Source organism: Homo sapiens, chromosome 8, assembly GCF_000001405.40.
Source record: "Homo sapiens chromosome 8, GRCh38.p14 Primary Assembly".
Lineage (NCBI taxonomy): Eukaryota > Metazoa > Chordata > Mammalia > Primates > Hominidae > Homo > Homo sapiens.
In genome coordinates, this window is record NC_000008.11 from 16,958,016 (window position 1) to 16,982,490 (window position 24,475).

Below are 24,475 nucleotides of genomic sequence, written 5' to 3' on the forward strand. Positions count from 1 at the left end.
ATGTGACACAAATAGAGTTCTGATAAGCACATAGACCTTGGGGCTTGTCCTCTTGAAACTCTGCTGTGAGACCACAATGGTGAAAGGAAGTTAGTCTAGCTTCCAGGAGAAAAGGCCACATGGAGGAGAGGAGAGATGACTTACCCCACAGTTAGCAAGAACAACCAGACACATGAGTAAATCCATCTTGAACCATGCAGGCTTTCAAGCCATAATGTGATTGCAACCATAGGAATGAGCCCAAGAAAGATCAATGGTAGAATCATCTAGCCAACCCATAGATTGATGAGAAATAATAAATCATTCTTTGCTGCAGCCACTCAGTTTGGTGTGGTTCGCTAAGCAACAAAAGTTAACAGAGACACCATCCCTTCCTATCTATGTTGTCAAGCCTACCTGAGACTCACCAAGTCTCTTCTGGGTTTTGGAAATAGCAAGGTAACTGATTTCTGTAACTCTCACACTTCCCCTTCGAATTTATCAAAAAGTCACCATCTTTATTACATTCATATATATTATTTCTATACTAAGAAACTTTCAATAAGAACATTGCTGTGAATAACAGCCCAAATCATTCATGCCTTTTATATTATCTGCCCAGTTTACTATTCCAGCCTCATTCTCACCACATCTACAATCCTGTATTCTGTATAACTTTACACATTTTCACTACAACGTTTATCGTCTATTTACATAATGTTTATGTATTTGTTATATTTGTTCTGCTATTTGTAGTAAACTATAGGTTACTACAGTACCTAAAACAAAGTAGACATGAAATAAGTGCCTGTTGTGTGAATGCTATTACTATGACTAGGATATTTTGTTTTTCATTGTTTCATTTGAACTTCAGTCTTGAAAATAAGACAACTTTATGTCCATTTTACAGATGAGGAAACAGATTCAAAATAGGTATGAGCCCTACTTTGGTCTCAGAACACTACAGCCTTAAATAAAAGTGTGATTATCTGATTCCTAGCAGAGTACACTTTGCCTTAATTAGCTACTCTCCATTTTCAAAACACTATGTATTTGCATGCTTTCCAAAAGAAAATTTAAATATTCCACCAAAATCCAACTTTGTCAGTGTTGTATAATTCTGTGTAATATTTCTTTGATTTCCCTTTATAATATTCACTTTTGTCCTTTAATCTAATATAAATTTGCATGGTAACAAAATTGTTAATTTATGCTTCTTATTATGATCAGTCCTTAAGTAACCCAACCCCTTCTCCAATGTCTTCAGAGAAAGCTTATCATTACAGAAGGCTCTGCCTGGTAAAATCAACATATTTAATCTTCATGTGTAATAGTTGGCTGAAAGCCAATAGAATCAAAAGGGCAAGTCTGAGCAAGGAAGAAAACAGGCAAGAATAGATGAGCACAGGGGCAAAACATCCCTTTAATAGATGTAATAGTAAGTATATTTTATTTTGTAGGGAATGAGTGATTCTGATGGGTTGAGTAAGTCACCAATGGCTTCTCCCATTTACCTGATTATCACCTTGGGTATTTAATTTCTCTAAGTCTTAAATACCTCGTTTGAAAAATAAGAGTAATGTTGCTTCACAAAGTTGTTGGGGGTTTGGCTGAAATATTGTATACATAGAGCACATTATACCATGTCTGGCATATAGCAAGAAAGCAATAAATTATAATAATTATAATTCTTTTCATGTTAGATAGTGAAAGATTTTTCAGGGTAGAGTAATTGCTTATAAGCAGTACTGAAGTTTTGAAATTATACCCCCAAATTAAAGCTGTTTTGTTAAATGCAATAATATTTTATTGGAATATGGGTATTATCGTATGTTAAGACTGGGAGGAAGATATTGGCAAGATTGTGTAAAATGCTCATGGATATACCAATCATATGGCAAGATGAATGACACTACTATGATTGATGTGGACAATAGCAATTCGCTCCCTACAATTTGGAAGGTGCACAAGCTTCTTTAAGGAATCTGAGCACTCCGATACCACTGAAAGAACAGGGGTTCCATTAGTATTGGGGAAATAGCCACGGGTAAAAAAAAATAGTATTCACCCCACTTGTCTTACATCTTTTCTCCTGCTGCTCATCTTGCTTTCACTCTTCCACTCACTTCAAAATAACATCTGTCCCTCTTGTTCTTGAAGTCCGCCATTGACTCCCACGTAGCCAAATGCGATTAATAGTTTTTTAGCTCTCATCTTCTTTGACCTTCCAGTAGCATACAACACAGTTGATTACTCACTCCTAGAAATACTCTTTTGATCTGTGTGATGCAAAACTTTCCTGATTTTCTTCTTATCTAGCATCTCCTTCCCTCTCTTTAAATTATCTTTCTCTTCCATCTGACCTCATGTAACTCAGAACTTTCATTTTTTTCTCCCTAGCATCTATATGCCAATAATTCCAAAATTATATCTCTAGCCTACATTTCCAGACCCATATATATCCAATTCCTTACTTGACCTAGTCACTTGATCATCTCACTCATATCAAAAAATGAACATTTCAAAACTGAACTTGTTATTTTCTACACAATTTTTATCCTCCAGTCTCATATTATTTTAATAAATGAGACTCCCTCTCTCTCTCTCTGTCTCTCTCTGTCTCACACACACACACAAACACACACACACACACACACACACACACATCTATTTACTCGAGCCAAAAATCTGGGCATAGCTTGATACAGCTCTCTCTTATCCCTACCTTTAATGTATCACTAAGATCCACTAATTTTACCGTCAAAATACCCCAAGTCCACCCATTACTCTCCCTTCTCATAGCCAACATGCCAGTCCAAACTGTTGCAACTCTTTCACCTAGGCTAACGCAATTTTCTCCAAACAATTTCTATTTTCTTCCACTTTTACCTCAGTCTAACCCAATGTTTATTTTGCAGCCAATGTGTTTTTTGGGGTTTTGTTGTTGTTATTGTTTTTGTTTTTGTTGTTTGAGATACAGTCTGGCTCTTTTGCCCAGGCTGAAATACAGTGGCGTGATCTCCGCTCACTGCAACCCAGAACTTCTGAGTTCAATGAGTTCTCCTGCCTCAGCCTCCCAAGTAGCTGAGACTACAGGCATGCACCACCATGCCCAGCTAACTTTTGTATTTTTTTTTATAGGGATGGAGTTTCACCATGTTGCCCAGGCTGGTTTTGAACTCCTGGGCTCAAGCGATCCTCCTACCTCAGCCTCCCAAAGTGCTGGGTTTACAGGGATGAGCCACAGATCCTGCACCAATGTGGTCTTTTAAATGTATAGATGAAATGGTGTCACTCTCCTGCTTAAAATCCTTCTATGACTTTCCATTGCACTAAAAAGAGACTCAAATAACTCACTGTGGCCCATAGGGGTTGTCATGATATGGCCCGTCCATGTCAATCTCTTCAATTTCATCTCATGCTATGCTGGCCCCACTACCTATTTAGCCATCTGGCCTTCTTTTAGTTTTTGGAACATGTCACACTGTTTTCCAACTGCAAGATCTTTATCATCCTATCGTCTAGATCGCTGTCTATACACACCCTGCCTCCCACATCCAAACTGCACAAACTCTGTTTTCAACTCCTATTCATTCTTCAGAAAGATCTTTTCTTTCCTTTTCTGATTGTCTCAACTAAAGGAGACGCCTCTGTGATCTTTCTTTTCTTTTTTTTTTTTTTTTTTTTTTTTGAGATGGAGTTTTGCTCTTGTTGCCCAGGGTGGAGTGCAATGGCACAATCTTGGCTCGCTGCAACATCTGCCTCCCAGGTTCAAGTGATTCTCCTACCTCAGTCTCCACAGTAGCTGGGATTACAGGCATGCGCCACCACACCTGGCTAATTTTTTGTATTTTAATAGAGATGGGGTTTCTCCATGTTGGTTAGGCTGGTCTCGAACTCCTGACCTCAGGTGATCTGCCCTCCTCGGCCTCCCAAAGTTCTTCTATTAGAGGTGTGAGCCACCTCGCTCAGCTGATCTTTCTTACAGTCTTGTTCTTTTCCTTCATAGCACTGACCACAAACTGCAATTTTAAAATTTATTTTAATTTTACAAATAAATTACAAATGTGTAATTATTAAAATCTTTTCCAGGCCAGTGCTGGTGGCCCATGTATGTAATCCCAGAACTTCGGGAAGCCAAGGCAAGAGGATCACTTAAAGCAACCCACAACCCACGGGCTGCATGCATCCCGGGACGGCTTTGAATAAAGCCCAGGACAGCTTTGAATGCGGCCCAACACAAATTCATAAACTTTCTTAAAACATTATGAGATTTTTTTGCGATTTTCTTTTTTTAGCTCACCAGCTATCATTCGTTTGTTCTATGTGTGGCCCAAGACAATTCTTCTTCCAATGTGGCCCAGGGAAGCCAAAAGATTGGACACCCTGGCTTAAAGCCAGGACTTCAAGACCAGCCTAGGCAACAAAACAGAGACCCCATTTCAACAAATCACTTTTAAAATTTAGCTTGGTGGTGTGTACCTGTAGTACCAGCTATTACCTACTCAGGAGGCTGAGGTGGAAGGATTGCTTGAGTCCAGGAGATCAAGCCTGCAGTAAGCCATGATCTTGCCATTGCTCTCCAGCTTGAGTGAAAGCATGAGACTACCTCTTAAAAAAAATATATATGTTTTTGCTACCTGGTTAAAACCAGGTGTAATTTAGAGTATATGTTAATTTAATTACCTACATGTATTTATTCTTTACTAGATGCTTGAAACCCATCTCCCTTTGGTGTTATCACTGTAAGCACACATACACATATACATACACATACACATGTACACATACACAAACACATGTACACATACACAGAAACACACGAGGATGCAGAAGTCTCCCTATAATTTAGCGAACTCGTGAAATTATAAAATTTCGTATACATCACCATGGTATCATAACTGCCACTTTAATCCAACAACATTCAGTCCTTGCTAAAAGTTATTTCATTCTTACAAAGAAATAGATCTAAGAAAAGAAATATAAATTCAGTTACATTCAGTTTCAAGTTTCACTGTCAACGGTGAATCAGAAATCTTTAATATGACTAAATCTGGTATATTTGAATAAGTATATGCCAATAAAATACCTATAGGTCTTTATGGACCTCTGTCTTGTTCTTGATTTTAATTTATTAGAATGTATCAATTGACCTACATCAATTATTTTATGGGAAATATTATCAGTAAGATTTTTATCTTTAACATCCCAAATAGGAAATCCCCACTAGTGTAATAAATAATGTATTTGGCAGGGAATTGGCAAGCCATCTCAATCAGAAAACTTCCTGGCTGACAATCACACAAAATTGAGACCACAAAGCATATCTTAAATGTTTCAGCACTTGGATTTTCCTAAATACTTCTTTTAAGTTCTTTCTGAACAAGTTGCACAGAGATCAAAACATGCTAATTTCATCATTGCTAGCCAAAATCATAAAAGAACCGTATAAAAGCATATGGATACACTTACTAACTTATAAACAAAAAACTGTTTCATGGTTTTATTGAACAGTCCATAAAAGATTTTCCTCATTTGTAAAATGAAGAGATTGAACGAGATGATAGCTAAGATGTCCTCAAGCTCGAAAAATTCTAATATTTGTGATTTTAGAATAAATACTTCATATTTTTCTTTTCTAACAAGGAAAAGTAACAGTATATGTTATTCCCATGTTTTACCATTTTGGTGTAGTAGGAGACCTGGGGTCATTTTTGCCTCTCTGAGGAGTGGAAATACAAAAGGGTAACTCATTACCCCTTCTTAGCTTAAAAAGGAAGCCAGTTTGAAGGACTTTTACTATCCCTCTATGCTATTCTTCTGTATTTCCCTCTCAACTCCAATTTTAGTAAACATATATACACATACTCTAACACCAGCCCTACCACCACCACCAGGATTCCCATTATGGACATAAGCAACTCGTCTATTAAGGACAGCAGATAGTATCCTCCAGAAACTACAGAGTAAACACAGCCCTCCCCAGAATCCATATCAGGTGTCTCACCTGACAGCTCAGCTAAAGCTTCTGTCCTGTGAAGTCACTTTGCTCAGATCCTTATTCACAGCTCTTGGAAATGGTGCTAAAAGAGTAACAGAGTTAAAATAAAATCAAGCCAAAGACATTTCAGGACTGTTTGTAAGGATCAAGCTGTGCCCTACCGCTTGAGCCATGAGATCCTCTTATATTAGAGATATCAGTGGTTGGGAAAGATATCATGTGGAATTTATGGGAAGTCCCAGTGGGAAAATCACATCACAGGCTCCTGGGATACTAGAGCAAGGTCACATAGCTTGCAATGGAGAATGTACACCTTTTGAAATGCAACTCATGGCGTGTTACTGAGCCATCACACAAATTGAGAGCCAGACTATGGGACACCATGTGACCATGTGGCTAGAATTTTCCATGTTGACCTTAATGCTATCATATCCACCAGCTCAGCTAGGCTCAGCCTGCATGTCATGCACCACTGTTGCGCCAACACCTCTTCCTCATCTCACTCCTATGGCCCAGCAGGGGAATCCCTGAGGACTAGCTGACAGATGATCAAAGTGCCCAAGACTGGTTTACAGACAGGTCAGCTCAGTATGTGGATATAAGGCACTACAGTCTAACTCACAGACAATTATTTCAATTGACAAAGTTTGGGGCAGTACATTTGCCATCCCCTTTGGGTAATAAAAGAAGTAGTCTGAGATTAGAACATATAAGGACTCCTGGGCAGTGGCAAATGGAATGGCTAGCTGGTAAAATCCTAGAAAAAAAGAAAGATTGGAAGATCGAAGACAAAATGGTCTGGCAGAAAGGAATACAGTCGGCCCTCTGTATCTGAGGGTTCTACATCTGTGGATTCAAACAACCTTGGATCAAAAATGTTGAGGGGGAAAAAAATGCCACAACTTTCCAAAAATTAAAATTTGAATTTTGTCATGCAGTGAGTACTAGGTTGAATTCACTCGAATGAAGTAAGGTATAGGCATTGTGTTAGGTATTGTAAATAATCTAGATATGTTTTATAGTATACAGGAAAAAATGTGCGTAGGTTATATGCAAATATTATGCCATTTTATAAAAGAGACTTGAGCATCCACAGATTTTGGTATCTATGGGGGTCCTGGAACAAATCTCCCATGGATACCAAGCCTTACTATATATATGGATAAATAGGAATGGGCATAAAGTGGGAAAATCTTCATATTAAAAGTTAACACCAATCCAAGAGCTCCCACCATGGAAGAGGCACTTAACAAAGAAGTAGATTAAATGCCTCAGCCAGTTGACACTAGCCAGCCTGGCTTTGGCCATTCCAGTGCTGGAAAAACGGACACATTAAAAAGTGGTCATGGTGATAGAGACAGAGGTTAGACATCAGCACAGCAGCATGGGCTGCCACTTTTCCTGATGAATCTCACTTCTGCTGCCTCTGAATGTCCAGTCTGCTAGGAACAAAATCCAATGCCAAGTCCATGATGTGAGATCATTCCTCAAGGATACTGTCTAGCCACTTGACCGCAAGTTGTCTACACTGCTCCCCTTCTATCCTAAAAAGATCTGTGACTGATTCTGATCAATCACAGAAGAAATAGAACTTTTGGGTATGGATTTCCCTTTCTTGCCCACAGAGTGCCTGTTCCACCCACACAGGGTCCCACATACAGCAGAGTAGATATGGGAGCAGGCCCATAACAGAGAAATGCATCAGTAACAACAAGCTCTAACCCATCTAGAAGCTGCTATTCTGATACAATATTGCAATAACCTGGTGACAGGATCATGGAAACACCAGCTCAGAGGTGATACTTTACGAAAATGATGGAACATTCTCCAGAATGCAGCATATACCACAGTTCAAAGATTTCTATGTCGTGCAGTGTCCCCAGTAAGAAGGAACTGAGAAATGTAGGGAGACATATCCCTGTTTGCCATCACTCTAAATATCACTTGTGGAATTCGTACCTCCCGCCCCTTCAGTCCTGCAGCATTGAAGGTCCTGGTACCCAAAGGGGAATACTTCTTCCAGTGGACATAGCAGAAGTCTCATTAAGCTATAACTATGGCTGCTCTTGGCACTTCATTTTCCTTGTGTCCAGGAACCAGAAAGTAAGAAGAGAAAATAGTCATCTTGACAGAGGCAATAAATCTTGATCATCAGGGAGGAATAGGCTGCTGTTATATCACTGGAATGTGGAGAAATACACACAGAACCCAGGTGTGGGCATCCTTAAAGATTCCCTGAAAATTATGAAAGCAAATAGACAAATTAAACAGCCCTAGCCTCAGAAGGGCATGGTGACAAGGAGCTCCAAGTCCTTAACGTTAGGGTCTGATTCTCACCACCTAAAGTCACCCAGAGCAGCAGAGGGCTCAGAAAGGGCTGGTCTAGATTGGGTAATGCTACGGGGAGGCAATGAGTACCAGTTATGGCTCTGAGACCAGCTTTACCAACAAGGACTAACATTTGTCCCACCACTCCTTCTCTTCCAAGTTTCCCCCAGGAAAAGAAGCCTAATGGAATCCTGGAAGAGTGTTTTCCAAATATTTATGAGAATGTGGATCTGAGCAACAAGGGGTAGACGGTAATGGACATGGAGTTGTGCTACCTACCTTCCTTTGCAAGAAAGGGTTTATTGCCCCAACTGTCCAAGTGCTGCCAGCCCCTTAAGGAACTGCCTCCACTTTCTGGGGTGACCCACATCCAGCAATGGATGTAAGCATGGGTAAAAGATTTTAGCCAGTTCAGCCCAGAGAGTTAGAGCCATTTTAGTTCAAGAGCTCGTTGTCAAGATTATCGAGATTGATGTCATGTCCACATCACAAATCAATGTCTCCCGTCTCGTCTTATGTTTTTGCCTTTGCTTCCACAGTGGATCCCAAGGGCATTGCTTAATAAACATTGCCTACTTTTTATTATCTCAGAGTGTAAAAGAACCCGGCCAGGCGTGGTGGCTCACGCCTGTAATCCCAGCACTTTGGGAGGCCAAGACGGGTGAATCACCTTAGGTCAGGAATTCAAGACCAGCCTGGCCAACTTGGTGAAACCTTGTCTCTACTACAAATACAAAAATTAGCTTGGCATGGTGCCAGGTGCTTGTAGACCCCACTACTTGGGAGACTGTGACAGGATAATTGGTTGAACCCATGAGGTGGAGGTTGCCGGGAGCTGAGATTGCGCCACTGCACTCCAATCTGGGTGACAGAGTGAGACTCCATCTCAAGAAGTAATAATAACAATAAAAAGAGTGTAAAAGAACCCAACTTGGATTATTTTTTCTGAATGAGACTCAGCACAGAGAATGAGTCATGGGAGACCACAGAGTATAGCTCAGGACATTTTCACAACATTTACATCTGTACAAGTATTTCTAGTGTATGTTTTAAAATTACTCTTAGGTTTGTACTTTTAGCACTATGATAATTGAGGTGGCATGTGTATAAATTATCAAATATCTTTAGCTGATATGTATAGAAAATGTACATTATATATTTTAAAATTCTAAAAATTTCACAGGTAAAAATTATCTCAAAATGGATCAGTGTATGTTTTAAAATTACTCTTAGGTTTGTACTTTTAGCACTATGATAATTGAGGTGGCATGTGTATAAATTATCAAATATCTTTAGCTGATATGTATAGAAAATGTACATTATATATTTTAAAATTCTAAAAATTTCACAGGTAAAAATTATCTCAAAATGGATCATTGATCTAAATGTATGAGTTAAAACTAGAAAAGCTTCAAGAAGAAAGCACAGAAGAAGTTCTTAGTGACTTTGGGTTTGACAAAGATTTCTTAAATATAAAACAAACAGCATGAAAAAAATCAATAAATTAGACTTCATCTAAATTTAACTTTTGTTCAGTAAAAGGCACAGTTAATTTTTAAAAAATAAGCCATAGACTGGGAGAAAATACTTTCAAAATCTATATTCAAAAAGTATTTGAATATGTAAAGAATTCTGACAATTCAGTGATAAAATAAATAGCCCAATAAATACAGGCTAAGCATCTGAACTGTTGTTTTACCAAAGAAGACGTACAGATGGCAAATACAAGCTCATGAAAATATGTTCAACACCATTAGTCACCAAGGAATTTAATTGATTAAATTAGAATGCACTTTAAATGAAAATCATATGCAAATTAAAACTACACGAGATACTAGAATTTCTAAAACTAAAAAGACTGTTCATGTAAAGCACTGAGGAGGATGCGGCTAGAACTCTTGCACAATGTTCTTTTCAATGTAAAATAGTATAGTTGCTGTGGAAAACCAGCTGGAAGTTCATTATTAATACAACTCAGCAATTTTATTCCTAGATATTTATCCAAGAGAATGTAAAACATATGATCATAACAGTTTTATTCATAATAGACCTAAACTGGAAACAATCAAATGTCCATCAATGGTTGAATGGATAAACAAATTGTGGTATATCCTTACAACAGAACAGAACTCAACAATAAAGAGGATGGTACATCTGATACATGCCACTGTAAGGATGAATCTCAGAAACGTTAAGAGCTCACAGTGCCTGATTCCATCTATACTAAACTTTAGAAAATAAAAGCTAATCTCCAGTGACAGTAAGTAGGTCAGTGGTTTCCTTTAGCTGTGGGTCAAAGTTAGGGGTGGGCAGAATGGATGATGACCTACATTTAGACAAGGGGAAACATTCTGGCTTGCTGAAAATATCCTCTATGGTCATTGTGGAGTGGTTACACAGGTGTATATATTTTTCAAAAGTCATAAAACCCTACCCTTAAAATCTTTGAGTTATTCTATGTAGATCATAACTCAATAAAGTTTTTTTTAAAAAGAATGTTTAATTTTTTTAAAGAAGGGGTGGCAAACAAAATGCAAACAGAAACTTGAACAGATATTTGTATATCCATGTCCATGGCAACTTTGCACAATAGCCAAACAGTGGAAACAACCCACATGTCCCTCAACAGATGAATGGATAAACAATGTGGTGCATAAATACAATGAAATATTGTTCAGCCTTAACAAGGGATGAAATTCTGACACTTGCAACAACGTCGATGACCCTTGAAAACATTATGCTAAGTAAAATAAGCCAGTCACAGAAGGACAAATATTGTATGGTTCTATTTATATGAGTTTCCTAGAATAGCCAAATTCATAGAATGGTATTTACCAGGGGCTAGGGAGAGAGGGAAATGGAGTGTTAGTAACTAATGGGCACAGAGTTTCAGCTGAGGAATATGAAAACATTCTAGAGATGGATGGTGGTGATGCTTGCACAACAATGTGAGTGTACTTAATGCCATAGAACTGTTGATATGGTTTGGCCATGTCCCCACCCAAATCTTATCTTGAATTGTAGCTCCCACAATTCCGTGTTGTGGGAGAGATCTGGTGGAAGGTTATTGAATCATGGGAGTGGGTCTTTCCCACGCTATTCTCATGACAGTAAGTCTCATGAGATATGATGGTTTTATAAAGGGGAGTTTCCCTGCACAAGTTCGCTTCTCTTGTCTGCCGCCATGTGAGATGTGCTTTTCACCTTCCACCATGATTGTGAGGCCTCCCCAGCCACATAGAACTGTGAGTCTATTAAAGCTATTTCTTTTGTAAATTGCCCAGTCTTGGGTATATCTTTATCTGCAGTGTCAAAATGGACTAATACAACTGTACACTTAAAAATTCTTGAAATGATAAATTTTATGCTATGTGTATTTTACCACAATAAAAAAGGAAGGGTAGTGAATACAATATGTGAGGAGGGGGAAAGTGGACGTCCCAATTAAATGAATGCTTTGTTTCATGGGTGAGGAAAGCATGGAGACCAACATAAGTTGATTTGCAAGGAATACTGGAGCAATCCTGGCCATGAAAACACAAAACATGTAAACAAAGGACCAAGGAGATTTGAAAGAAGGAACTTCAAAAAGCTACTGTCCTGATCAACAGGATAGGTGAACCGAATGACCTGATTATCAGCTTTAGAAATTCACATCTTAAGTCCGCTCCCAGAGGGTTGTGTTTCCACTCCCCAAAGCTTTTAATGAAAGCATGAATTTCATGAGAAATTGCTGCAAAATTAGCTAAATGGAAACATTTGGATTTGGATTTGGTCCACTGTCTGCACAATAATTTCCCTGTGGCCTAAGACAAAAGGGTAATCAGATTTGGACTAACATGACCCCCAATTCATAAGAGGAACACTGGCAAGTTGCTGAGATTCAGAGGAGATCAATAGGACACAAGAATCAGCTAAACTTGCAGGCATAGCAGCCATGGCAACATCCCTAGCAAATCCTCCACACAGATAGTAACTAGCCACTTCAAAATCACTGGGAGTGGAGCCAAGAGAGGGAACACTGAGACAAGGACTTTGTAAATCTTAAGGATAAACTCCTCCCCACACAAGAAAAACAGACAGCACCTAAAGCATTTTCTTTGATTTTTTTCCTGATCTCTCTAAATTTAAGAAACCTGGCCTTAAAGTCTGAGAGATCAAGCCCAGCCTCCCATAGGGAAGGACAAATTGTCCCAAAGTCCTTAACATGCAGGTCTATTAAACCTCTGATCTGCCTGGAGAGACCCTAAACCTTATGACTGCTTTGAATGAAGGACAATATTCAAGAATATAGGAAATTTCAGATACAGGATCAAAGATAACATTAATTCTAGGAAGCTTGAATACAAGGACAGAAATTCTTTTGACTATTGAAGGATGTGGAGAAAAAGTGGCTGAAGTTGCTGGGTTATAATTGCTGGGTAGAGAATTTTTCCTGGGGTGGTATCTCCTTTCCATGAATGTGTAATTGCAAGGAATTCATTGCAATTTTAGGAAAGGTAAGAACCTTCTTCTCAAAAAGTTAAAGAGTAGGAGCCTAACAATTGGCCTTCCAAAAGGGAATCTCTAGAGCAGCCCAGTATCACCACAGTTGTAAATATGAAATAGTAGCTTTTTGTAGGTTGTAGGTACTATTTCATATTTACAACTGTGGTGATACTAGGCTGCTCTAGAGATTCCCTTTTGGAAGGCCAATTGTTACAGGCAACCTACAAAATGGGAGAAAATTTTCACAACCTACTCATCTGACAAAGGGCTAATATCCAGAATCTACAATGAACTCAAACAAATTTACAAGAAAAAAAACAAACAACCCCATCAAAAAGTGGGCGAAGGACATGAACAGACACTGCTCAAAAGAAGACATTTATGCAGCCAAAAAACACATGAAAAAATGCTCATCATCACTGGCCATCAGAGAAATGCAAATCAAAACCACAGTGAGATACCATCTCACACCAGTTAGAATGGCAATCATTAAAAAGTCAGGAAACAACAGGTTCTGGAGAGGATGTGGAGAAATAGGAACACTTTTACACTGTTGGTGGGACTGTAAACTAGTTCAACCATTGTGAAGTCAGTGTGGCGATTCCTCAGGGATCTAGAACTAGAAATACCATTTGACCCAGCCATCCCATTACTGGGTATATACCCAAAGGACTATAAATCATGCTGCTATAAAGACACATGCACACGTATGTTTCTTGCGGCATTATTCACAATAGCAAAGACTTGGAACCAACCCAAATGTCCAACAATGATAGACTGGATTAAGAAAATATGGCACATATACACCATGGAATACTATGCAGCCATAAAAAAGGATGAGTTCATGTCCTTTGTAGGGACATGGATGAAATTGGAAACCATCATTCTCAGTAAACTATAGCAAGAACAAAAAACCAAACACCGCATATTCTCACTCATAGGTGGGAATTGAACAATGAGATCACATGGACACAGGAAGGGGAACGTCACACTCTGGGGACTGTTGTGGGGTGGGGGGAGGGGGGAGGGATAGCATTGGGAGATATACCTAATGCTAGATGACGAGTTAGTGGGTGCAGCACACCAGCATGGCACATATATACGTATGTAACTAACCTGCACAATGTGCACATGTACCCTAAAACTTAAAGTATAATAATAAAAAAAAAGGTACCAAGTTCCATTAGAAGTTCACCAAACTATATAATAGGGATGGATGTTGAAGAATTATACCTTTATTGTACTACTACAGGAATAAACTCTCCAACACTGCATTATAATCTAACAAGGTAAAGTTTAAACAGGAGCCTTGCCATAATTCAAGGAGAAATTTCATCCTTTTCATAGATGTCATATTGATCAGCAGTCAGAAATAATCATAACTGAACTCTGTCTTTCCTCGTTAGTTTGATGACTAAAAATGCTAGAACAATTAACAAGAAAAAAATTCAAGGGCCCTTCACCAAACAACATTTGTGAGAGTAGCATTATTTGGAGCAAACAAACTATGCACTGAATGAGACAAAAATTTTATCCTTGAGAGCCACATCACCAAACAGGAGGCAAAGAAACAAGTGTCATGTGTGGATAGTGACACATCTGGGTGTTATGCTGTAGTCTCATCATTCAATTGCACAGCATCCTGAACAACAAAATGCCTTAAAGCTTGCACAAGCAACTTTCTGACCTCTCTGCCCTTGATGTGGAGCCATCGGCATGTCCCAAATCAAATGACAAAGCTGTCAAGTCTGCCAAATAGTGTTCTCATTTTGAAAGACAATTGCCAGCCACTTACTGTGCCATAGTTAAAACAGCAGTTCATAAACAGAACATCAAATTCTTTTGCTACCCCCATTAATTGCCTTATACCTGAAACCTCATTACTCTCAAGGAGGAATGAGCAAATGAGATTTCCATTCTTAAATGGAAACAGTACAGTCAATAGAGAGTCATATTGATCTCCAAAGAGATATGAAGCCATCACAGATTGTGCTGCCCTGCTGGAGACCAGCCCTTGACAAGGGCACCCATACTGATTCCAAAGGTACATTGCTTCTAAGAAATACTGTCCTTGACCTCTGCACTTTTTGCTCTAATACGTCTCCAAGACCGTTATTTCTTTTTTTTTTTTTTTTTTTTTTTTTTTTTTTTTTTTTTGAGACGGAGTCTCGCTCTGTCGCCCAGGCTGGAGTGCAGTGGCATGATCTAGGCTCACTGCAAGCTCCCCCTCCTGGGTTCATGCCATTCTCCTGCCTCAGCCTCCTGAGTAGCTGGGACTACAGCCGCCACCACGCCTGGCTAATTTTTTGTATTTTTAGTAGAGGCGGGGTTTCACCGTGTTAACCAGGATGGTCTTGATCACCTGACCTGGTGATCTGCGTGCCTCGGCCTCCCAAAGTGCTGGGATTACAGGCGTGAGCCACCGCGCCCGGCCCAATACCATTATTTCAAACAGAATAAGTTATATCTATCCAAATCCCAGTTTCAGGGCAAACAAAATGATTGCAAGTAGAGTCTTACTCAAAAAAACTATTTACCTTCTCAGTAATTGCTCCTTTCAGAGTACCACATGTCATAACTCAGGCCCCATGGCAAACAAGATGAGGTAACTGTAAGCCTCAGACATAGTTGGCCATATTCACCACCATGAAGAGATCTGATGTAATAGAGAATGATTAGTCCTGAGTTCTTCTTCATTAAAACACTGGAGAGAAAGTAGTAGAGCTGACTTCTTTTCTGAATTGGGACAGAGAGTAATGGTTCAGTGGGGGAAAGATTAGTTGGTTAAAAAAGTAAAAGGAAACATATGGTTCTAAGGGTTTTTTTATATTTTAACCATGTTGGGAAAAATTTTATTGATAAAAGAAGGATAGATATTGTTTCTGACTGCCAGATATGTTAAAATAAATATTAAAATACCTTTCACAAAATGGTTGAGAAGGTACAGGTTAACCACCTAGAAGCCAAAATGTAAAAGGAACTTTATAAGCTGAGGAACCTGGAAACACTAAATATTTTGCCAAAAAGAGACAAAGGAACTTTAATTTTTTTTTAATTATACTTTAAGTTCTGGGATACATGTGCAGAATGTGCAGGTTTGTTACATACGTATGCACGTTCCATCGTGGTTTGCTGCACCCATCAACCCGTCATCTACATTAGGTATTTCTCCTAATGCTATCCTTCCCCTGCCCTCTACCCCCCAACAGACCCCAGTATGTGACATCCCCCTCCCTGTGCCCATATGTTCTCATTGTTCAACTCCCACTTATGAGTGAGAACATGCAACGTTTGGTTTTCTGTTCCTGTGTTAGTTTGCTGAAAATGATGGTTTCCAGCTTCATCCACGTCCCTGCAAAGAACATGAACTCATTCTTTCTTATGGCTGCATGATATTCCCTGGTGTATATGTGCCTCATTTTCTTTATACATTCTATCATTGATGGGCATTTGGGTTAGTTCCAAGTCTTTGCTATTGTGAATAGTGCTGCAATAAACATACTTGTGCATGTGTCTTTATAGTAAAATGATTTATAATCCTTTGGGTATATACCCAGTATGGGACTGCTGAGTCAAATGGTATTTCTAGTTCTAGATCCTTGAGGAATCACCACCACACTGTTTTCCACAAAGGCTGAACTAATTTACACTCCCACCCACAGTGTAAAAGCATTCCTATTTCTCCACATCCTCTCCAGCTTCGGTTGTTTCCTGACTTTTTCATGATCGCCATTCTAACTGGCATGAGATGGTATCTCACTATGGTTTTGATTTGCATTTCTCTAATGGCCAGTGATGATGAGCTTTTTTTCATAAGTTTGTAGGCCGCATAAATGTCTTCTTTTGAAAAGTATGTGTTCATATCTTTCGCCCACTTTTTGATGGGGTTGTTTGTTTGTTTTTCTTGTAAATTTGTTTAACTTCTTCGTAGAGTCTGGATATTAGACCTTTGTCAGACGGATAGGTTGCAAAAATTTCCTCCCATTCAGTAGGTTGTCTCTTCACTCTGTTGATAGTTTCTTTTGCTATGCAGAAGCTCTTTAATTTAATTATATCCCATTTGTCAACTTTGGCTTTTGTTGCAATTGCTTTTGGTGTTTTAGTAATTAAGTCTTTGCCCATGCCTACGTCCTGAATGGTATTGCCTAGGTTTTCTTCTAGGGTTTTTATGGTTTTAGGTCTTATGTTTAAATCTTTAATCCATCCTGAGTTAATTTTTGTATAAGGTGTGAGGAAGGGGTCCAGTTTCAGTTTTCTGCATATGGCTAGCCAGTTTTCCCAACACCATTTATTAAATAGGGAATCCTTTCCCCATTGCTTGTTTTTATCAGGTTTGTCAAGAATCAGATGGTTATAGATGTGTGGTGTTATTTCTGAGGCCTCTGTTCTGTTCCACTTATCTATATATCTGTTTTGGTACCAGTATCGTGCTGTTTTGGTAACTGTAGTCTTGTAGCATAGTTTGAAGTCAGGTAGCGTGATGCCTCCAGCTTTTTCTTTTTGCATAGGATTGTCTTGGCTATACATGCTCTTTTTTTGTTCCATATGAAATTTAAAGTAGTTTTTTCTAATTCTGTGAAGAAAGTCAATGGTAGTTTGATGGGGATAGCATTGAATCTATAAATTACTTTGGACAGTGTGGCCGTTTTCATGATATTGATTCTTCCTATCCATGAGCATGGAATGTTTTTCCATTTGTGTCCTCTCATTTCCTTGAGCAGTGGTTTGTAGTTCTCCTTGAAGAGGTCCTTCACATCCCTTGTAAGTTGGATTCCTAGGTATCTTATTCTCTTTGTAGCAATTGTGAATGGCAGTTTACTCATGATTTGGCTTTCTGTTTATTATTGATGTATAGGAATGCGTGTGACTTTTGCACATTGATTTTGTATCCTGAGACTTTGCTGACGTTGCTTATCAGCTTAAGGAGGTTTTGGGTTAAGACGATGGGGTTTTCTAAATATACAATCATGTTATCTGCAAACAGAGATAAATTTACTTCCTCTTTTCCTATTTGAATACCCTTTATTTCTTTCTCTTGCCTGATTGCCCTGGCCAGAACTTCCAATACTACGTCAAATAGGAGTGGTGAAGGAGCGCATCCTTGTCTTGTGCCAGTTTTCAAAGGGAATGCTTCCAGCTTTTGCTCATTCAGTATGATATTGGCTGTGGGTTTGTCATAAGTAGCTCTTATTATTTTGAGATATGTTCCATCAATGCCTAGCTCATTGAGTGTTTTAACATGAAGGTGTTGAATTTTATCAAAGGCCTTTTCTGCATCTATTGAGATAATCATGTGGTTTCTGTCATTGGCTCTGTTTATGTCATGGATTACATTTATTGATTTGCATATTTTGAATGAGCCTTGCATCCCAGGAATGAAGCCAACTTGATTGTGTTGGATAAGCTTTTCAGTGTGCTGCTGGATTTGGTTTGCTGGTATTTTATTGAGGATTTTCACATTGATGTTCATCTGGGATGTTGGCCTGAAATTTTCTTTTTTTGTTGTGTCTCTGCCACGTTTTGGTATCAGGATGAGGCTGGCCTCATAAAATGAGTTAGGGAGGTTTCACTCTTTTCCTATTGTTTGGAATGGTTCTAGAAGGAATGGTAACAGCTTCTCTTTGTACCTCTGGTAGAATTCAGCTGTGAATTTGTCTGCTCCTGGGCTTTTTTTGGTTGATAGGCTATTAATTACTGCCTCAATTTGAAGTCTTGTTATTGGTCTATTCAGGGATTCAACTTCTTCCTGGTTTAGTCTTGGGAGGGTGTACGTGTCCAGGAATTTATCCATTTCTTCTAGATTTCCTACTTTATTTGCGTAGAGGTGTTTATAGTATTCTCTGATGGTGGTTTGTATTTCTGTGGGATCAGTGGTGCTATCCCCTTTATCATTTTTTATTGTATCTATTTGATTCTTCTCTCTTTTCTTCTTTATTATTCTGGCTAGCAGTCTATCAATTTTGTTAATCTTTTCAAAAAACCAGCTCCTGGATTCATTGATTTTTTGAAGGGTTTTTCATGTCTCTATCTCCTTCAGTTCTGCTCTGATCCTAGTTATTTCTTGTCTTCTGCTAGCTTTTGAATTTGTTTGCTCTTGCTTCTCTAGTTCTTTTCATTGTGATGTTAGGGTGTTGATTTCCTACATTCTTCTGTGGGCATTTAGTACTATAAATTTCCCTCTAAACACTGCTTTAGCTGTGTCCCAGAGATTCTGGTACATTGTGTCTTTGTTCTCATTGCTTTCAAAGAACTTATTTATCTCTGCCTTAATTTCATTATTTACCCAGCAGTCATTCAGGAGCAGGTTGTTCAGTTTCCATGTAGTTGTGCAGTTTCGAGTGAGTTTCTTAAACCTGAGTTCTAATTTGATTGCACTGTGGTCTGAGAGATTGTTTGCTATGATTTCCGTTCTTTTGCATTTGCTGAGGAGTGTTTTATTTCCAATTATGTGGTCAATTTTAAAATAAGTGGTATGTGGTGCTGAGAAGAATGTATATTCTGTTGATTTGGGGTGAAGAGTTCTGTAGATGTCTATTAAATCTGCTTGGTCCAGAGCTGGGTTCAATTCCTGAATATCCTTATTAATTTTCTGTCTCATTCATCTAATATTGACAGTGGGGTGTTAAAGTCTCCCACTATTACTGTGTGGGAGTATAAGTGTCTTTGTAGGTCTCTAAGAACTTGCTTTATAAATCTGGGTGCTCCTGTATTGGGTGCATATATATTTAGGATAGTTAGCTCTTCTTGTTGCATTGATCCCTTTACCATTACATAATGCCCTTCTTTGTCTTTTTTGATCTTTGTTGGTTTAAAGTCTGTTTTATCAGAGCCTAGGATTGCAACCCCTGTGTTTGTTTGTTTGTTGTTTTCCATTTGCTTGGTAAATCTTCCTCCATCCTTTTATTTTGAACCTATGTGTGTCTTTGCATGTGAGATGGGTCTCCTGAATACAACACACCAATGGGTCTTGACTCCTTATCCAATTTACCAGTCTGTGTCTTTTAATTGGGGCATTTAGTCCATTTACATTTAAGTTTAATATTGTTACGTGTGAATTTGATTCTGTCATTATGATGCTACCTGGTTATTTTGCCCATTCTTTGATGCAGTTTCTTCATAGTGTAAATGGTCTTTACATTTTGGTGTTTTTTCAGTGACTGGTACCGATTTTTCCTTTCCATATTTAGTGCTTGCTTCAGGAGCTCTTGCAAGGCAGGCCTGGTGGTGAAAAAAATCCCTCAGCATTTGCTTGTCTGTACAGGATTTTATTACTCCTTCACTTATGAAGCTTAGTTTGGCTGGATACGAAATTCTGGGTTGAAAATTCTTTTCTTTAAGAATGTTGAATATTGGCCCCCACTCTCTTCTGGCTTGTATAGTTTCTGCAGAGAGATTCGCTGTTAGTCTGATGGGCTTCCCTTTGTGGGTAACCCGACCTTTCTCTCTGGCTGCCCTTAACATTTTTTCCTTCATTTCAACCTTAGTGAATCTAATGATTATGTGTCTTGTGGTTGCTCTTCTCAAGGAGTATCTTTGTGGTGTTCCCTGTATTTCCTGAATTTGAATGTTGGCCTGTCTTGCTAGGTGGGGAAGTTCCCCTGGATAATATCCTGTAGTGTGTTTTCCAACTTGGTTCCATTCTCCCTGTCACTTTCAGGTACACCAATCAAACATAGGTTTCGTCTTTTCACATAGTCCCATATTTCTTGGAAGCTTTGTTTGTTCCTTTTCATTATTTTTTCTTTAATATTGTCTTTTCACTTTATTTCATTAAGTTGATCTTCATTCTCTGATATTCTTTCTTCTGCTTGATTGATTCAGCTATTGATACTTATGTATGCTTCACAAAGTTCTCGTGCTGTGTTTCTCAGCTCCATCAGGTCATTTATGTTATTCTCTAAACTGGTTATTCTAGTTAACAGTTCCTGTAACCTTATATCAAGGTTCCTAGCTTCCTTGCATTCGGTTAGAACAAGCTCCCTTAGCTCGGAGGAGTTTGTTATTACCCACCTTCTGAAGCCTACTTCCGTCAATTCATCAAACTTATTCTCTTGCTGGCGAGGAGTTGTGATCCTTTGGAGGAGAAGAGGCATTCTGGTTTTTGGTATTTTCAGCCTTTTTGCACTCATCTTCATGGATTTATCTACCTTTGGTCTTTGATGTTGGTGACCTTCAGATGGGGTTTTTGCATAGTCATCCTTTTTGTTGATGTTGATGCTATTGCTTTCTGTTTGTTAATTTTCCTTCTAACAGTCAGGCCCCTCTGCTGCAGGTCTGCTGGAGTTTGCTGGAGATCCATTCCAGACGCTGTTTGCCTGGGTATCACCAGGGGAGGCTGCAGAACAGCAAAGATTGCTACCTGCTCCTTCCTCTGGAATCTTCGTCCCAGAGGGGCACCGGCCAGATGCCAGCCAGAGCTCTCCTGTATGAGGTGTCTGTTGGTCCCTGCTGGGAGGTGTCTCCCCATCAGGAGGCAAAGGGGTTAGGGACCCACTTAAGGAGGCAGTCTGTTCCTTAGCAGAGCTCGAGTGCCGTACTGGGAGATCTGCCGCTCTCTCCAGAGCTGACAGGCAGGAACATTTAAGTCTGCTGAAGCCGCACCCACAGACACCCCTTCCCCCAGGTGCTCTGTCCCAGGGAGATGGGAGTTTTATCGATAAGCCCCTGACCGGGGCTGCTGCCTTTCTTTCAGAGATGCCCTGCCCAGAGAGGAAGAATATAGAGAAGCAGTCTGGCTACAGTGGCTTTTCGAAGCTGCGGAGGGCTCGGCCCAGTCTGAACTTCCCAGAGGCTTTGTTTACACTGTAAGGGGAAAACCACCTACTCAAGCCTCAGTAATGGCAGACGCCCCTCCCCCCACCAAGCTCGAGCATCCCAAATCAACTTCAGACAGCTGTGTTGGCAGTGAAAATTTCAAGCCCGTAGATCTTAGCTTGTTGGGCTCTGTGGGGGTGAGATCCGCTGAGCAAGACCACTCAGCTCCCTGGCCTCAGCCCCCGTTCCAGGGAAGTGAATGGTTCTGTCTTGCTAGCATTCCAGGCACCACTGGGGTACGAAAAAAAAACTGCAGCTAGCTCAGTGTCTGCCCAAATGGCTGCCCAGTTTTGTGCTTGAAACCCAGGGCCCTGGTGGTGTAGACACCCAAGGGAATCTCCTGGTCTGCGGGTTGCAAAGACCATGGGAAAAGCATAGTATCTGGGCCAAATAGCACTGTCCCTCACGGCAGAGTCTCATGGCTTCCCTTGGCTAGGGGAGGGAGTTCCCTGAACGCTTGCACTTCCTGCGTGAGGCAACGCCTCACTCTGCTTCTGCGTTCCCTCTGTGGGCTGCATCCACTGTCTAACCAGTCCCAGTGAGATGAACCAGGTACCTCGGTTGGAAATGCAGAAATCACCCACCTTCTGCATTGGTCCCACTGGATGCTGCAGACCAGAGCTGTTCCTATTCAGCCATCTTGCCTAGGAATCCAAAGGAACTTTACTTTAAAACCCAGAAATCTTCTAAAACTAGGAAGCCTTTGGCTATTTTTTTTTCTTGCATAGTTCGCTAATACTTCTACTCCATTGATGAATGTTACTATACAAGATGAAGATACAACTTCACTATGCCCAACTTGTCCCAATCTACTGCACTTTGGGGACCTGAATGTAAGGTTTCTTACTCTGATAAACGAAGGCTACTTTCAGCATATATGGAAACTGTTAATAGTCCAGCCATCATGGACGGTTTGATAGGTTTCAGCCTCCCTCCCATGCCATAGGTTCTATATGGAGAAGAGCCATGGTCTCAATGTATTAATTATATCCAATCATATATTGAACAGCATCTATAGGCAATGACTGGGACATAGGGAACACACTCAACCAGGAAAGAGATCAATCTGTTCTATTACAGCAACTACAGAAGCTAATCAATGCTAATGAAAATTGAGTTGAAGACATTCTAGATAGTCTCTGGGAAATTAGTGTATCAACATGATCAAAAAGAATACTAGAATATTTTCAGCAGTACTATAATGTAAATTGAATACTTCTATTTACTGGGTAGAATGTTCAGTAAGCATGTCTTGCCACGTTTCCCAGGCAATGCAGGTGCTCCATGTAACTGAAACATTACATTGCAATCTGATGGGGCATCTAGGGCAGTAATGCAAAAGATATTAAATAGAACAGACCCTTTAGAGTCTCATTAGATCTAATTGGCTTTGGAGTCATACCCAGATTACAATGATGCTACCCAAACATTAAAAATCTTGTTGCATATGAAACTTTAGTTAAGCTACAAATAGAATTATACTAACACACCTAACTTCTATGAGAAATAGTCAATTCTTCCAGAGATATGAGGCTATTCTAACAATACTACAGCCAGACTTACAATAAGCCCTCAACAGGATTCCTGAGAGAATTCAGTCCTAAAAAAAAAAAAAAAAAAACCCATTATGTGTAATACATCAGCTTCTATACGTCTAAAATATACCAGATATGTTCCCTGGGAGAATTAAGAAAACAGCCACTGTCATCATTTTCTATAGAGCTTAATTCTCTTACAGAACTGCAGTTAAGCAAAAGTAGCCAGTCAACATTTGGCCGCTTTTATGAGTCAGACTGCAAAATTTATTTGTGCCCTTAAACTAGAGTTATGTTGGGAAGAAAATAACCACAAGAGCAATGCAACTTACTCTAACATGCTTTAGAAAAAGTAAAAAACAATGTATCAAAACAAATCATATTGCACACTTTGTAAGTACACGCTAGGAGATGAATTGGTACTAGTGATAGGGAGAGGAGGCAGAGAAATTCTAGGCAGAAAAGGGTGGGTTACCAACAAAACCCCACCCTCAATCCTGAAACTGCAACCCAAAGTGAGAACTTGTATTCCTGTTTCCCAACTTGAATGTTGCCTTTTCCAAAACAACCCATGGTCCACCCCATCCCCCATCTGCACCCATAAAAACCCCAGGCTCAGCTGGCAGAGGGAGAAGCATCTGGACTTTGGAGAGAAGCAGCTTGACTTCAGAGGGATGGCCTGATGGTGTAACTTCAGAGAAGAATCTTGCCAGAGATGGCCGGACTTCAGGGGCAGATTACCTTCCCACTCCATCCCCTCTTCAGCTCCCCTTCCCACCGAGATCCACCTCCATCGGCAATAAAATCCCCTGCATTTACCATCCTTCAACTCACTCATGCGCCCTCATTTCTCCTGGGCACTGGAGAAGAGCTTGAGATCCACGAATGCAGATGCAAAAGGCTGTCACACTTGCCCTTTGCCCTCGCTGGCAGAAGGCAGCCTCTTCATGTGAGAAGGCAGAGGGCCCTCTGAGCTCTTGACACTGAAGCCATCCATGGATGGTAGAGCTAAAAGAGTACTGTAACACTCCCTCTGGGGCTTGAGGGGTTGCGGACACCCCCCACCCTGATACACTGCCATGGGGCCAGCACAGAGTTGGCTCCTACAGATGCTGAAAAGCACTTGCCCTGGCTCCTGCGCCTGCTCACCTGCATGACTCCTCCTGCTAGGGGTGGAATGCAGCAGGTCTAAGTGAGTGGCGTTTGCTCCTGCTGGCACCAGGTGCTTGGAGTAGCCAGCTGTTTCCAATGCTTGTGTACTGCAGTTCCCACCTCGTTCACTTGCGTGCTTCCTCCCACGAGGAATTGAGAGCTGTGGGCTGAGTAAACA